This window comes from Homo sapiens, chromosome 11 (assembly GCF_000001405.40).
Source record: "Homo sapiens chromosome 11, GRCh38.p14 Primary Assembly".
Taxonomy (NCBI): domain Eukaryota; kingdom Metazoa; phylum Chordata; class Mammalia; order Primates; family Hominidae; genus Homo; species Homo sapiens.
In genome coordinates, this window is record NC_000011.10 from 92,622,751 (window position 1) to 92,637,999 (window position 15,249).

A 15,249-nucleotide genomic window follows, 5' to 3' on the forward strand; every position below is an offset into this window, starting at 1 on the left:
TTTGTGCTCTAGTACTTTCTTCGTAAAGCCCCAAAAGTTAATTAAAAAGAATTTAAATCTTCTGCCTGAAATGATGCTCTTCTTCCCTGAGACTCCCTATAAGACACTTGGCTGCCAAAGGAGCCTCATGTCTACCTATGCTGTGTGAACAAGCTTCCTCTTAAAGAATTATGACCCTACTCCTGGGTGGTTCCATGACAATATATCAGCCCCTGACCACGAGATCCCCCAGAGAAGCATCCCAGCAAGCTTGGATTCAAGGCACTTCCCATAACAAGGCTGACTCCAGTGATGTCTCTGAATGTCTTTTACCCTCTGCTCTTGAAATCCTTGGCGTTCATCTCTGATGTTGTCTTAAAAGCTTAGAAAATAAACCAAATGCAAACACTTTCTATCATGCTGACCTGCCATAGTCCCATGTTGCTACATGTTGCTACATGTTGCTACATTAGTCAAATCTGACTAAATGTTGTAGATGAAGAAGGTATGCTTCCCCCAGTGACCTGTGAGCTTACTGAAGACAAGGGCCATGTCTTACTCATTTTAGCATTTTCAGTCTTCCTCACACCACTTGCTTTTCTCACTCTCCTCTCTTGCCTCCTCTAATATCTTAATGTTCAACACATAGCAGTACTCATACTATCTATATGCTATTAAGTTAGAATTGCATTGAATTGACTTGAGGAACTGGTCTTAAATCAGTTAGATTAGCGGAGGATATGTCAACTCGAGTTTTTGTTATATATACTGAAAAGAGAATGGAAATATGCATGTTGATGTTATATGAAAGCAAGATAGTTCATATTTTTATTTGCTGCCTTAGAAAGAATACTAAATGGTGTGGGTTTTTTAATTATAACATTTAGGGTGTAACAGAATTTGTATTGCCTGCTTTAAAATATTTAAACAGTGGCTGGGCATGGTGTCTCATACCTGTAATCCCAGCACTTTGGGAGGCCAAGGCGGGTGGATCACGAGGTCAGGAGATCGAGACCATCCTGGCTAACATGGTGAAACCCCGTCTCTACTAAAAATACAAAAAATTAGCTGGGCATTGAGGCGGGTGCCTGTAGTCCCAGCTACTCGGGAGGCTGAGGCAGGAGAATGGCGTGAACCCGGGAGGCAGAGCTTGCGGTGAGCTGAGATCGCACCACTGCACTCCAACCTGGATGACAAAGCGAGACTCTGCCTCAAAGAAAAAAAAAATTAAAATCGCTTACCCCGTATAACAGATATTTATGAAACTATTTTTTTGTGGCCAGCATTATGCTAGATACAAATACAAATGGATACATAGACAAACAAAATATGACCTCTGCTCCCAGGGAACTCAGAGGCAAAAAGCTATTACAATGCAAAGACAGTTTTGGAATCATGCACACTACTATGGGAGCAGTTCAAGAAAGTAACTAAGCCCTACTGGAGTCAGGGAAAGCTTCTCAGAGAAGCCCTTGAAAGTGATGACACCTGCCTGTGGTTGTGTAGTATTTTGCCGGATGAAGAGCAAGAAGAAAAACATTCCTTTGCAGAGGTAGGTACATGAACACAGAGATGGGTGATGTCTGACGGACTTAGGAAGCCGGTTAAAGTTGGAACCATGGATTTGACAGTGGAGAAATTAGCAGGAAAAAAACTTAGAACTTGTCTGGGTCAGATCCTAAAGGGCCTGGCATGTTTAGACTAAGGACACTTTTCTCTACTCTGATGCTAGGAGGGGTGCACTGAATGTTTGAAAATGGACTTGCAATACAGAAAGACAACCTTGGCAAATGTGAGAATTGGCAGGTGGCGAAATTCAAGGGCCTTTGCTAGTGATCCATGTGGAAGGCAATGGTGGCCTGAATTAAAGTCTAATAAGGTGGTAGAGAGAAATAACTCCAAAAATAGCAATTAGATACAATCAGTGGGACCATAGACTGCTGGGCTGTGGATTTAGAGAGAGAGGAAATGTCAGAGTCTGGCTTGGGGGTGTTTTAGTTTGCTGGGGCTGCTACAAAAAGCACCACAAACTGAGTGACTTAAACAGCAGAAATTTGTTGTCTTACAGTTCTGGAGGCCAGAATTCTGAAATCAATGTTTTGGCAGGGTGGCCTTCTTCTGAGGACTCTGAGAGACGATCTGTTCAAAGCTGCTCTTCTTGGCTTGAAGATTTCTATTGTTATCGTATGTCTCTTCACATCACCTTCCTCTATGCATTTCTGTCTCTGTATCCAGATTTTCCCCTTTTATTAGAACACCAGTAATATTGGATTAGAGCCTACCCTAATGACCTCATTTTAATTTGATAACCTCTGTAGAGACCATGTCTCCAAATAAGACACAATTTAACCCATCATGGTGGGTGTAGGGCCATTCCCTGAGACAGAGAACACGAGAAAAGGAGATTTGATGGATGCTGGGGCAAGAGGATGAAATTGGTTTCATGCTATGCTGCCCATGCCACATTTTTGTTAAATTTATTATAGTATTATGGCCCAATAACTGCTTGCTTTTGTGACTTTTATGTTATGCCTATGCAACAACTCTCTCTCTGGGTTCCTCTTGCTTTATTGGTTTAGTCTTCTGACAGTGCCTGGAGGAGTGGGGCTCTGAAGAAACCATGGGCTGTCCATCTTATACACTGGCTGTCAGATCCTATAGCCTGGAAGGCATTCTGTTTGGATGACATTAATCCATGTTTCAACTCCCCCTGCCCAAGACAGTGGTTGTTATCATCAAGAATGACACCTGAGGCCTGCAACACCAGCCTCTAGAAGCTCTCCACAATCATACTGTCAGCTGGAGCACCCAACAAAGCTCACACCGATGGCCCAGAGAGCAAAGATGTTACTGTCAAATTTAGCAGCTACATACACACAGATGCCACACTGATGACTCTTTATTTCCCCAAAGTTGTCATTGGCTATGGCTATTTGATGTTTTATGGGGTGAGGTAGGGTGGGCAGATTGTCAGCCCCCAAATCAGGAAACCAAGTATCTGTCCTTCAACTTTTTTTTTTTTTTGAACAGGATAGTCAATATTGGCCAAGTGCTAAGACACACTTAGCTAACCCCAGGCCTGAGATTTCTCTCATTTGTCACTTTGAAACACTGGGTCCTATTGAAGGCAAAGATGAATTGTGACCCAGAGAGGAGAATCACATTGGACAGGGTGACTTCCTGGGTTTAATTAAAGTACTGAAATTAATGAGTATTGTAAGTGACTTGCCAAATTGCCTGACAAAATTATTTCCACAGATAACTCCTTGTTTTCAGAAAAATGCAAGAGAGTAGCCAGAACTTTGAAGTGAACCAAACAAATGACATCCTAATGGAGGATTAGCTGGAGGATGCCTCAGGTTTGGAACGTGACCAAGTATTACTCTGGAAAACTCCCTTTATTGCAGCCCCTGGAGCAGCCCCAAAGCCTGAGTGAATTTATCTAAGGTTGTTTTTCTCCTCAGTTTAAGAAAGGCACTGGAATTATATTTGTCTAAATTATTATTGTTGAAAGTTAATTTTAAAGAAAGATAATTGAGATAATAGTTTCAAAAGTTGAGATTTACTTTGCTAGCCTGATTTAATTCCCTGATTTAATCAGGGGATTTAGAGATAACCACCTGGGACTTTTTAGGTGAGAGAGATCCAAAAAATAATTTAATGTACCAATTTTTTAGCTAAGCAGAAAGACTATTTTTTTAGATCAAGAAAAAGGGAATTTGAAATTGGCGTAGCGTATCTCTTTTTTTTTTTTTCCCTTCAAAAAATAACCTTGATGCTTTTCTTAGTGAGTTCATTTATAAAAGAGCCCAGTGGCATCTCTTCCTGATAGTTGCATGGGTCTTTTCGGGGGGCACTTATTGTGTTCCAGAAGACACTCAAGTGTATCCAGAATGAACTGGGGGAGTAATCTTAGAATTTTGTCTTGATGGAGAAATGGAGAGGGTTTTCATGAGAAACTTGAATAATTGTGGAGAGGTTTAGATTTTCTCCCTAAACCAACAAAGAGTTAAGGAAAGCCTAGAGTAAGTGAGATGGCTGTCACAGGGCTGTCAGGGCAGATATCCTCCGCTCCATTGGATCTGCCAGCTATTAAGCTTGCTTATTCCACTTCTCATGAACTATGCATGGTGCTTGTTCTGCTATGGAGGGAGCCCCCATCATTAATACTCTCCAACCCAGTAAGAGCCATTTGATATAATGACACTGAATTTACCCAGTGATATCCTTAAGAAAAAATGAGTGAATTCTATTAATGGAGCTGTAACATTGTTGAAATAGGCATAGACTTCCTCATTCTGTGAATTTTAATCAGCCTACAAATCCCCATTTATTAGTTATGAGTAATCTATGAATGTCTTACTTTTTAAAGGCCTTCAGAGAAAATTAAATGTTGTCTAATACTTGGGGTCTTCTTTGATATGTGTGTAACTCATGTTAATATTAATGAATGTTCGTCGCTGATTAATAAGAGGGAGACCTCTTTATATAAAGGTTAGTAAGAAAGACACAGAGCAGTGATTTCAGTGTCTCTCTATGAGCAAATAAGGTCAATAGCTTGATTCATAGGTGAAGGTTCTATCGCATCAGGGAAGATAAATACAATCTAAGGATGTATGACTTTATGACGGGCTGGGGAAGGATGGATAAAGGCAGCTGCCTCCTCTGAAGTTCTCCTTATTTAACAGTTCATAGAGTGGAAGGCAGTCTTTTGTGAAAGTGTTTCCTGGGATTTAAACTTTTATCATATAATATGGCTCCTAAATCTTTTGGAATTTATAGTTGGATGGGGTAGAGAGAGGGGAAGGGAGAGGGATAGAGATGTCCCCTTAGGAAAATAATTTATTAATAATAAATAAAAGGATGAAGTCATAAAAGATGTGAGCTGAGGAGAAGCTGTGGTTTGAGAGCCAGGGAAAGACAGTGATTCTAGTCTCACCTTTGTAAAAGGAATTTACTCTCTTTAGACGTTCCTTAGCAATAACATGAGACACTTGGGCAGGTTCCCTTGAAAGGCCCACTTCCTCTAACAGTCAGTGATTACCGTGTAGAAAGCAGAGTGCATGCCATTGATAAATAGGGTGATGGCATTAAAAGGATGAGTTGACATTAATCATGAAGGGATTACAGGAAAAGGTACAATATGAACATCTTTGTGAGTGAGCAAGGCTGTGCAGAGGTGACAGAGCCCATGACTGGAGCGTGGGGCTTTGAAGCCAGGAGACAGGTCTGAGTCAGAGCTTGACACCTACTGTGCGACCTCAGAAATGTTGACTCGCCCAGCCACCATTTCCTCATTTGACACACAGGTCAGTATAGTCTTCCTCACTGGGTTGTTTTATGGGATAGTTCAGATACCGGATGCCTAAGACATAGCATGATGTCTGACCATAATGGGCCATGAGCGACAGGGCCTTTACTACTGAGTAATGCACATGTGCACTGACCCTTTGGTATATTTAGCAAATAGTTCCTGAAATCATTGTTTAAGTAACTTTTAGAATGTAAATTTTGTCTTATGTTCACTAGGGGAGCTTGCTATTTCAAAGGAATCTTACTTGACTCTCTTCATAAGGCCTTTTTATAATGTTAATTACCTCCTTATAATTTATCTGGTTTATTAAGTTTAGCTTCTGTTCTTCGTGTTTTCCTAAAGTGGAGCAAACCTGAAAGCTTACTAATATCTTACTCCATTCACATTTGCCCTTTTTTGTGAGCAGCTATGATAATATGTGATGACTGACTTCAAGAAAAATGCTCTGCCCTCCTCTCTTGAAACATTAAACTAGGGGAAGCTTTTCTTCCAGCTATTATTCTCATAGGTTGAATGGTCTTTAAATTGCAATTGACAGAGTGCTTAGTGAAATGCTATATTTAGGAACTATTGTGTACCTATGTCTATTATCTGTGTTTCCTTTTCTTTTCCAAAAGGCGGTGTTTCCATGGAAAAAGCGCATTTGTTGCTTAGGAGATTGTCCACTCTTGTCTTTTTGCTTATCCTTCCCATTTAGCCCCAGACAGGTTTGTAATATCATTCACAGTTGCTGTGGAGACTATTATGATGTCATGTGTGGGGAGCTATTATTTAAGGTGATGACTTGGCAGCTGGATCTTCTGAAAGAAGAAGGGTGCATGCACGTGTGTGCACAGGCACACGTGCACTCATGCACACACACACACTCACACACACACACTGCAGGACTTCTTCCTTGAAATGACCCTATCACAGACTTTTTGAAGGGAGTAGTGCATTAAGCTTTCTTTTCATAATGTGGTAGAACTTATCTTCTGCTCTTAAGCAGCCCAGCTTTTCAGTCATTCATGATTAAAACAGTGACAAGAGAAAGAAGGAAGTACAACCTTTCTTATATGAGATACCAACTAAAACTGCAGCACTCTCTAGCAGGGCCAACTAACTCATAGTATACACTGAGATCTTTCCCTGCAAGTTGATCATTCTTTATTAATCAGTGCAACTGGAAATAAATCAAGATATAGTAGCAGTGGGAAAATTCAGTTACTCATAACTAAGCTAGAAATATCATTTTACTAAAGGGAAACTGAAAGAAGAAGAGGTGACTGACATTTTATCAAGCTCTTTCTATGTGCTAAGCAGTGGATATCTCTGCCTGGGATCATCTGCCTCTTCTCTGTTGGCACTATTACCTCTCCTTCCCCTACCTTTTTTTTTTTTTTTTTTTCTTTTTAAGAGACTAGGTCTCACACTGTTCACCCAGGCTGCTAGGCTGGAGTATGGCCTCAAACTCCTGGGCTCAAGCAATCCTCCTGCCTCGCCTCAGCCTTCCAAGTAGCTAGGACTATAGGCACGTGCCACCACATCCAGATAATTTTTAAATTCTTTGTAGAGATTGATTCTCACTATGTTGCCCAGGCTGGTCTCAAACTCTTGGTCTCAAGCAATCCTCCTGCCTCAGCCTCCCAAAGTTCTGGGATTATAGGTGTGAGCCAATGTGTCCAACCTCCTTCCCCTTCTTCAGCACCAACCTATAAATATGCCTGTCTCTCCTACTATGCTTGCTTCCCACCATCATCTAAATCAGACTCCTGCCCCATGTCTCTCATTCCATTTTGTGCCAAGTGTCTTGAAATAATAGTCTACTGTTCCCAAACAACATGTACATCAGAATTCACCAGAGGAGCCTATTAAAATACATATTTGTAGGTCTCCATTCAGAGGGGTTGATTCAGAAGATTCAGGGTGTGACCCAAATCTTTGTTTTTTTTAGCAAGCTCTCTGGGTGATTCTGGTGTGCGCTCAGATATTGGACAGTAATTGGTACTCATTTCTTAATTCCTCTCATCTTAATCACTCATCAGTCCTTCTCCATCTGGCTTCTACCTCTCTTGTGTGGGTGAAAATGCTTTTGCCAGGATCGCATGGCCCTCCCTACCTGCTGAATGAAATGGCATGTGTGTTCACTGTAGAACACTAGATGTGGCTGGCCACTCCCACTTTGGAATTCCTTGCCCCTTGATGCCTGTGACACTGTGCTCTCTTAATCAGCCCTTTGGTCTCTTTGATGATTCCAATTCCTCATCCTACTCTGTAACTGTTGGTTTTCCCCAGGATACCATGCTCGGCCCTCTAATTTTATTTCCCTACAGACCAAGCAATTTCATCCATTCCTGTAGCTTAACTACCACATATCTGTTGATGGCACCCACAGGTACTTACAACTTTGACTGTGTCTTACCTAAGCTTCAGATTCATAGATATCTCTGTGTGCTGAGTATATGTGTGTCTGGATGCCCTGTCAGCTCCTTAGGCTCAGCTTGTCCAAAACCAAACTTGTTGTCTTCTCACTAAACCTTCCACAGTATGTTTTCCCCCAACGGAGATCCCACTGTCAACCAAGCTAAAAACCTGAAGCCATCCTCCTCTAATTTTTCTCACTTCCAACATCAAAGAATTATCAAACCCTTCCAATTTTCCTCCTAAATATTTCTTGGATGTGTTTTCTCCTCTGTGTCTCAGCTTCAGATCCTCATCACCCCTTGTGACAGCCTTCTGGCAGGTTCTCCCAGGTATATAGCAGTAATTTATGTTCTCACCCACCCCTATTGAATGCTTAACTCCATGAATTTAGAAAGTATGGCTTCTTCATGCCATATTCTCAGCTAGTAGCAGCATTCATGGTAGGTGATCAATAGAGTTAGATAAATGAAAGCATGAACCATCTAGCTCACAGCTTTTTTGGAAATTATTATTTACAAATACAACATATAAAGCAGTGAGCTTAAGGGCTAACATGTTTAAAATGTGAATTGCCAGCAACCATATTGGTATTGGTATTAAGTCAAGAATTTTGATATTTATTTCCCTCCTTCAGGTCTTCAGCACCAAACTAGGTCAGCTGGAATCTTCTCTCACACTGAGAGGGTGGCTATTTTGTTTAAAAGTGATCTAGCTCTAGTTTTACTGCTATAAATTTGAACTTTACAGTGAGTTCCTCAGACTTGTGTATTCTCCCCTGACCCATTCAGGTTATTGGTGAATTATAGGCATTGTCAGCATGGTTTGATTCTTCTCTGTCAAAAAGGGTCACCATGACAGTCTTCTCACTGAGTCTCTGATTTGTCTTTTGGATCTTTCAGAATGGAGGGTGATATGGTTTGGCTGTGTGTTCCCACCCAGATCTCATCTAGAACTGTAATCCCCAGGTGTTGAGGGAGGGAGCTGGTGGGAGGTGTTTGGATCATGGGGGTGGTTTTTCCCATGCCTTTCTCATGATAGTGAGTGAGTTCTCATGACATCTGATGGTTTTATAAAGGGCTCTTCCCCCTTTGCTTTCTGTCTCTCCTGCTACCATGTAAGACGTGCCTTTCTTCCCCTTCGCCTTCTGCCATGATCACAAGTTTCCTGAGGTCTCCCCAGCCATGCAGAACTGTGAGTCAATTAAACCCGTTTTCTTTATAAATTACCCAGTGTCAGGTATTTCTTTATAGCAATGCCAAAATGAACTAATACAGAGGATTAATTGCTACAATAAAATATGAGGAAATTAAAACCTATAATTCTTTTTTTCCTCAGTAAACCAGAGACAAGCAGAAAGTGGAGCTCAGAGCACTGAGCGCCTTGTCCAGTGAGCCAGTGACTTGGGAAAATGGAGAGCTTCTGTGTTCTTCGATATTATGGAAGCCACTGAGCTTCCCTTTGCCTCTATGTCTCCCTCTGTAAAGCTGCCAGCTTTTCTGGCCCTTCACTGGATAGCTGTACAATGTATAAAGAGCATTTGTAGTTTCTTGGAGGAAATATGTCAGCTTAAATAAGTGGTTCTTGATGTAGCCAGGGTGATAGGTAACATTTGGAAGTCTGTGTTTACAGTTACTGTTTTAAGGATTATATTTGTAGTATTTTTCTTTGCTTCAGCCACTCCTTCTAAAAGATCATCAACACAGAACATCTGTGAAGACTTGTGGGATAGTTTGCTGCACAACCTGCCACATACTAAATACAGCCATTCTAGCAAGACCTTGCCTATCCATGCTAATGAGGACTAGGCACAGTATGGATAATTTAAATCTGCAGGAAAATATAAAAATCTAGAGTCACTCAGTATTTTTTATCTTTCCTGCTGTCAAACCAGCAGTCATTTAAATTTCACATCCCCTTGTTTCCCAGGATGCTTTCATGAAAGGCACTAATGAGAGGCAAAATGGCCGAGAGGCAGACGGGTTACTGGAAAAGGAGCTGTATGCAGTGAGGGGATGAGCAAGGCAACAACTGGATAATCACCACCTGAAAATCGGCTTCAAAAAGCATTTGTTGAACTCGACCTGACTGCTCCTGAAGATTAGGCAGTCACTTCTCTTCTGCAGGCAGAAGGTGAGGCCTCCTTGGGGCCAGGTCCTGTTCAGAGGCATATGAAAGGAGAGGAGTTAAGAAGGTAAACAAGGCAAGGCAGTACACACATTCCCACAGTGGAACTCAGCCCCTGACCAGTTCCTAAGGGAAGTTCCGTGTGCTGCAGGTTCAATGGCAGGAGGCAGAGAGGCATTGATGGAATTCCACCTTCTGGCTAGTAAATTTGCTTGTCCAGATGTCACCTGAGATGTATCATCAGAGGTTAATTCCTGTTGCAGCCTTAGGTCAGAAGGGAAGTGCCTCTCTTCACTCCTCAGTCTTTGGAGAAACACATCTTAGAGTGTGAGTTACAGTCACTGCCCCTAACAAAGTGGCTCATGTGCTATGGAACATTGCCCCTGATCCTTGTTCTCATCACAGTTCTCCTTATTTTGTACCTGCTACCTTTGTGGATAATAATTAACTACAATCATGGTGTTATAATTTACTGTGTTTATTTGATAAGTGGTATGTTCCTGGTTCTTGATTTTTCTTTTATTCTCTAATGCTCTATGACATAGGTGTGGGTTGACTGTCACCAACTCTGTTTATTTATGCATAAATGGCTTTGCAAACAAAAGGAACTTTTCACTTACAAGAGGACTTCAACTGAGGAACTTTGAATCTCTTGTGAGTCAGTAATTTTTTAAATAGAAAAGACAGCTTTCACAGCCTTGATATAAGGGAGTCCTAGTTTCACTTGGGCTCAGTCTTTTTTTTTTATCTGATGGATGTCCCCAGATAACAGAAAATGTGATGGTTATGTCTTCCAGGCCAGCATCAGCCAAATGTGTTGTCAGAGAGTGACTTTAAGAACATTATTTTGTTTGCCAACATCCTAAAAATTAGGACGATGATGTGAACTTTACAAATGTCAATAAGTGGGGGTCAGCATAATCTAGTAGACTGTTGACTAGTTCCACAGTGTGTCCTTCATTCTCTGTGTCCTCAAATTCAGAGGACTGACACGGGGATTGGGATAAAAAAGCAAATTTTTTAGCATATGGATGACAAACAGTCAACACCTCTTTTTAAACAGTACATTGATCAACAAACCGTGTCTACCAGGCTCTTGCTCATCCTGCCACTTATGGGTCAATTGGAGGCAAAGGATAGAAGGAGAAATGTATCACTTCATAAATATGAATCTGATCATTGTCAACCCCCTTTACAATGATGTTGTTTTAAAAGTGATTTTCAATAAGTGAAGTTAACAGAAAAAGTAAAATTGAGCATGTCAGGGTTCAGTTAGGTTCATCTTCTGCCTGCCTGTCATTATTTTTACTTGAGGATAGAAAGATTAATGTATCTGTTGTCTCTATGTACTGAGAACTGTGCTAAGTGCTGTGGATACAGATATTAAATGAACAGTTCCAAGCACAGACTGATACATGAGTATGTGCTGATCATGGTATGCACATAACTTTTCAGTCCTTATGACAAGGAAGTGAGACACCTCTGTCCACTGCTGACTAGAAGGTTATGTTATAAGCAGCGATCTTCTAGACTACAGCAGCCCTACACAGAGATTCAGAAATGCAGAGATTTTTGCAGTGAGTTATTAAATGGGTAGCATCCCAAACACAACAGACAGGAACTAACATGATAGACTCTGTGTTGAGGTTCTGACCTACCAGGATTTCTTCTGGCCATTTTGGATCCCAGCCTATTCTTTATAGCTTTTGGGAACCCAAATCCCCCTTTTGTTTTCTATTTCCCTATCTCTGAATCCTCATGGTCAGTAGAAAAATTTGTATTGTCAAGGAGTTTCCCAGTGTTGTAGCTTCATCCTATTTTCTCCTGACTAGAATAAGGAACAGCCAGACAGGATTTTGTTCATAGTATCTCCTCCTATACTGAAGATTGTTAAGTCCTCTCCATCTTCACTCAGCTGGACAATTCTTGTTCTTGACTGCTTCTAATAAATCTTATTTTCTTATCTTTGAATCATGATTACTGCTCATCTATTCCAAAGAGTAGAGCGCAGGGCTTCTTGCAGACTTCAGCAAGCAGAGGTACTGAGATCCTCTGCAGGAGTTCCTCAGCTGGGGCCAGTTATGCACACTTTGAGGACCTGGCTCTCCACACAGCACAGGAACATATGAGCATTGCTCAGGAATCAATGAGCACTGTACAAGAATGAGATAAGTAGTGTTATGGACTGAACATTTGTGTTCCCCAAAAATTCATATGCTGAAGCCGAGCCCCCAGTGTGGCTGTATTTGGAGAAGGAGCCTCTAAGGAAGTAATTAAGGTTTAGTGAGGTCATAAAAATGGACCCCTGATCCAGTAGGATTAGTGTGTCCTTATAGGAGGAGACCACACAGCGTTCTCTCTTTCCACCATCCCTCTTTCCCTCTGAGCACCCACAGCGGAAAGGCCTTGTGAAGACATACCAACCATAAAGAGAGCCCTTATTAGAAACTGGCCATGCTGATACCTTGATATCGGACTTCTAGCTCCAAGATGGTGAGAAACGATATGCCTATTGTTTAGACTATCCAGTCTGTGGTCTTTGGTGATGGCAGCCTGGACACACTTACATAAGCAGCTCTGGGGCAGTCCTTGTGCTGCTCCCCTGTTCCTCTATCATCATGAGGTCTGTGCATTCTTGAGCATACTATGATGCTTAGATTCAGATTTTTTTTTTCTTTTTATCACTCTGACCTACTCTCCTACAGAATATTTAAGACAAAATTTTCAGCAGGACATTTTTGTGTTACTGATATGGAGAAACCCATTTCATAGAAGAGTTTGTTGAACCAGGCTTCTTCTACATGCTATAGTTAGTTTTCCACTGGAATTGATTTAATCTCTAGTACAATGAAATATATTTGATAATAAGCCATATCATGAAGGCCTTCTACTTTGTTATTAAAATATCAGGAATCACTGTCTGATGAGTTCTTACGCATTATGTTTTAATTATATGGAGAAGAAGAGTTCTTAGGCTTCAACTCAGGGTGTGATTTTTTTAAAATTATTTAAATTGACTTTGAAGCACCTTCCAGCCATTTGTTCAACAGTTAAATTCCCCAGAATGCCTGCTGTTTTCTGTCTAATTTTTGACATTATTATCTTTCTGGAAACAGAGCTGCTATTTAACTCAGCTAGCACTGAACAGAAACTGATTATTCTCTTTCAATGTAACTGGAGTGACTTAAATACTTACAATCTTTTTGTTAAGGGAAGATTAAAGCATAGGAGAAAAGTGTTCTGTCTTGCAACTCAAAATAAATATTTCAATAAGAAGTAGCCATAATTTCCTTATGAAAACTATATTGGGTCATTGGGTGTTCAGTAACAAAGTATTAGAAATAGATGTAAGCAGTTCCTACAAGGTCTTCTTTTTTGTTTTGTTTTGTTTTGTTTTGTTTTTGTTTTTTTGAGACAGGGTCTCACTCTGTCGCCCAGACTCGAATGCAGTGGTGCCATCTTGGCTCACTGCAACCTCTGCCACCCAGGCTCAAGCAGTCCTCCCACCTCAGCCTCCCGAGTAACTGGGACTACAGGTGGGTGCAACCACGCCTGGCTATTTTTGTATTTTTAGTAGAGATGGAGTTTTACCATGTTGGCCAGGCTGGTCTCAAACTCCTGACCTCAAGTGATGCACCCACTCTGCCTCCCAAAATGCTGGGATTACAGATGTGAGCCACTGCACCCTGCAGGTCTTCTATTCTTAAAAGATTCAGAGATTTCCTTTGACTTTGGCCGTGATATGTGATTGGGCAGGAAAAAAGAAAAGCTAAGGCTAAGTTATACTAGGGACTCTTCTTTCTATAAATCAGAGACTTGTCATTACCTTATCCTTAATCCATATTCCAGTCAGAGTTCTTCAGAAATTACATTCCTTTCAGTTACATCTTCTTAAAGGACTTACTGGGTCAGGGACACATGTGGTAGAATTTAGACAAATTAGATCATCTTAATTGTTGGGCAGTGAGTTTTAGTAGCTCTTAAAAAAACATTTTTAGGCAGTGAGAAACAAAGATCCAACAATAAAGAAGAAATCAATCTGTGATAAAAAAGTAAAGTCAGCAAGATTCATGACAGCTATTGGGCTTTCTATTGAGTAGCACAGTTTGGAATTTACTGAAGACTCTGCTTTCACTGGGCTTCAGGCTTCAGAACTCTCTCTTTTGTTTAGGCGAGTAGTGTAGACTATATTGCTCAGGAAGCCTGTTTCTGTCAAAGGAACCATGACAATCCAGCTGTGTTCTTTTCATCATTAGCCTCAGCTGTGTCATTTTTCAAATAACTTAATGACACATCCAAAGCAAAATTAAGTTATCTTGGCTACAAATGTCAATATCACCCATGACATCAGTGCTGGTCTTACATAGCCTCTCTACTTGGACCTCTGGCCATCACTGCAGATGCAGCTGTGAGTGGTTCCTTCATCCTCCTCCAACTTGCCCGTTTCTGTCAGCATTCAAAGGATCGGTCATTCAACAACAGCAGACCTTTAATGAACAAATGTTCAGTGCCAGGCATTAGGCTGGGAGAGTCAGTCAGGATCAAAATGACAAGGGAAATACAAAGATACACAAAAGGGAAAAGACATTTCCTCTCTCACAAAGCTGATAGCCTGTTGAGAATTAGTGTAAGTGAGAGAAGGAATGACTGGAAACCCACTGCCCCATTGAGTATTGGTTAGAGAAGAAGCATGAGACTTCTTGCATACTCTTTCTTCTCAGAGCCCCAGATGTGATTTACAGGTGTCTAGCCCTATTGTCCTGTTATCTTAGAAGAGAGGATGGCTCAAAAGAGAGAATGGCTAAGAGGGGGTCAGGAAGGATGAATTTTCATTTTTGCACCATTTGTTTCAGTAACAAAATAAAGACAATGTAAACTGCCTCCAGCTTGTTGAAAAGATTAAATTCTCTCACTTTTGCAATGAATCATTCCAAAGAATGGCAATAACTGCAGAATCTCTCTGTCATTAATGGCACTGAAGTCACAAATGCCTTTCTCAGAGAAGGGCTTGGCAAATAGCAATGCACCTTTCATTTCCACTAAGTAGTCAGCTAACCTACAGGCTGACAGGAACATACGTTAAGAACTATAGTAACTTCATGACTGTGTGCCTCTGTGTGGTTATGAAGATCTCCCAAGGAAATAAGAGCAAGGTAACTATGAATAATGGGGTTTGTCTTTCCTTGCTGAGCTTTTGAATATGTATCCTATATACTATGTAAATGATTCTGACTCTATCATATTCTAAATAATGACATCCCTTATTATACATGAGGCTTTGGTTTTCAAAATAAATGAACCAGCCTGTCAGGCATATGGAGTTCCTGGAAATAAATTAGAATCTCAGCAAAAGCCGCATGCTGTTTGGATATTGCGTTTTTTACCTTAATATACTGCATATCCCTCCTTCAGGTGACAGATACTCTTGA

General features: G+C 40.9%; 1 protein-coding gene across 11 annotated transcripts in view, besides 1 other annotated feature; it reads left to right on the forward strand.

The window, feature by feature from the left end:
• FAT3 (FAT atypical cadherin 3) overlaps positions 1-15,249 on the forward strand; it is a 671,656-nt gene that overhangs the window by 397,933 nt on the left and 258,474 nt on the right. The gene's annotated exons all lie outside the window — the stretch shown is intronic.
• Positions 4,283-5,482: an enhancer, noted in NCBI's record as "CDK7 strongly-dependent group 2 enhancer chr11:92360199-92361398 (GRCh37/hg19 assembly coordinates)". NCBI's record gives its function as "activates an origin of replication core promoter dependent on BRD2, BRD4, P300/CBP, MED14 and CDK7 cofactors, with strong dependence on CDK7, by STARR-seq in HCT116 cells {active_cell/tissue: HCT116}" and the evidence as "EXISTENCE:reporter gene assay evidence [ECO:0000049][PMID:35650434]".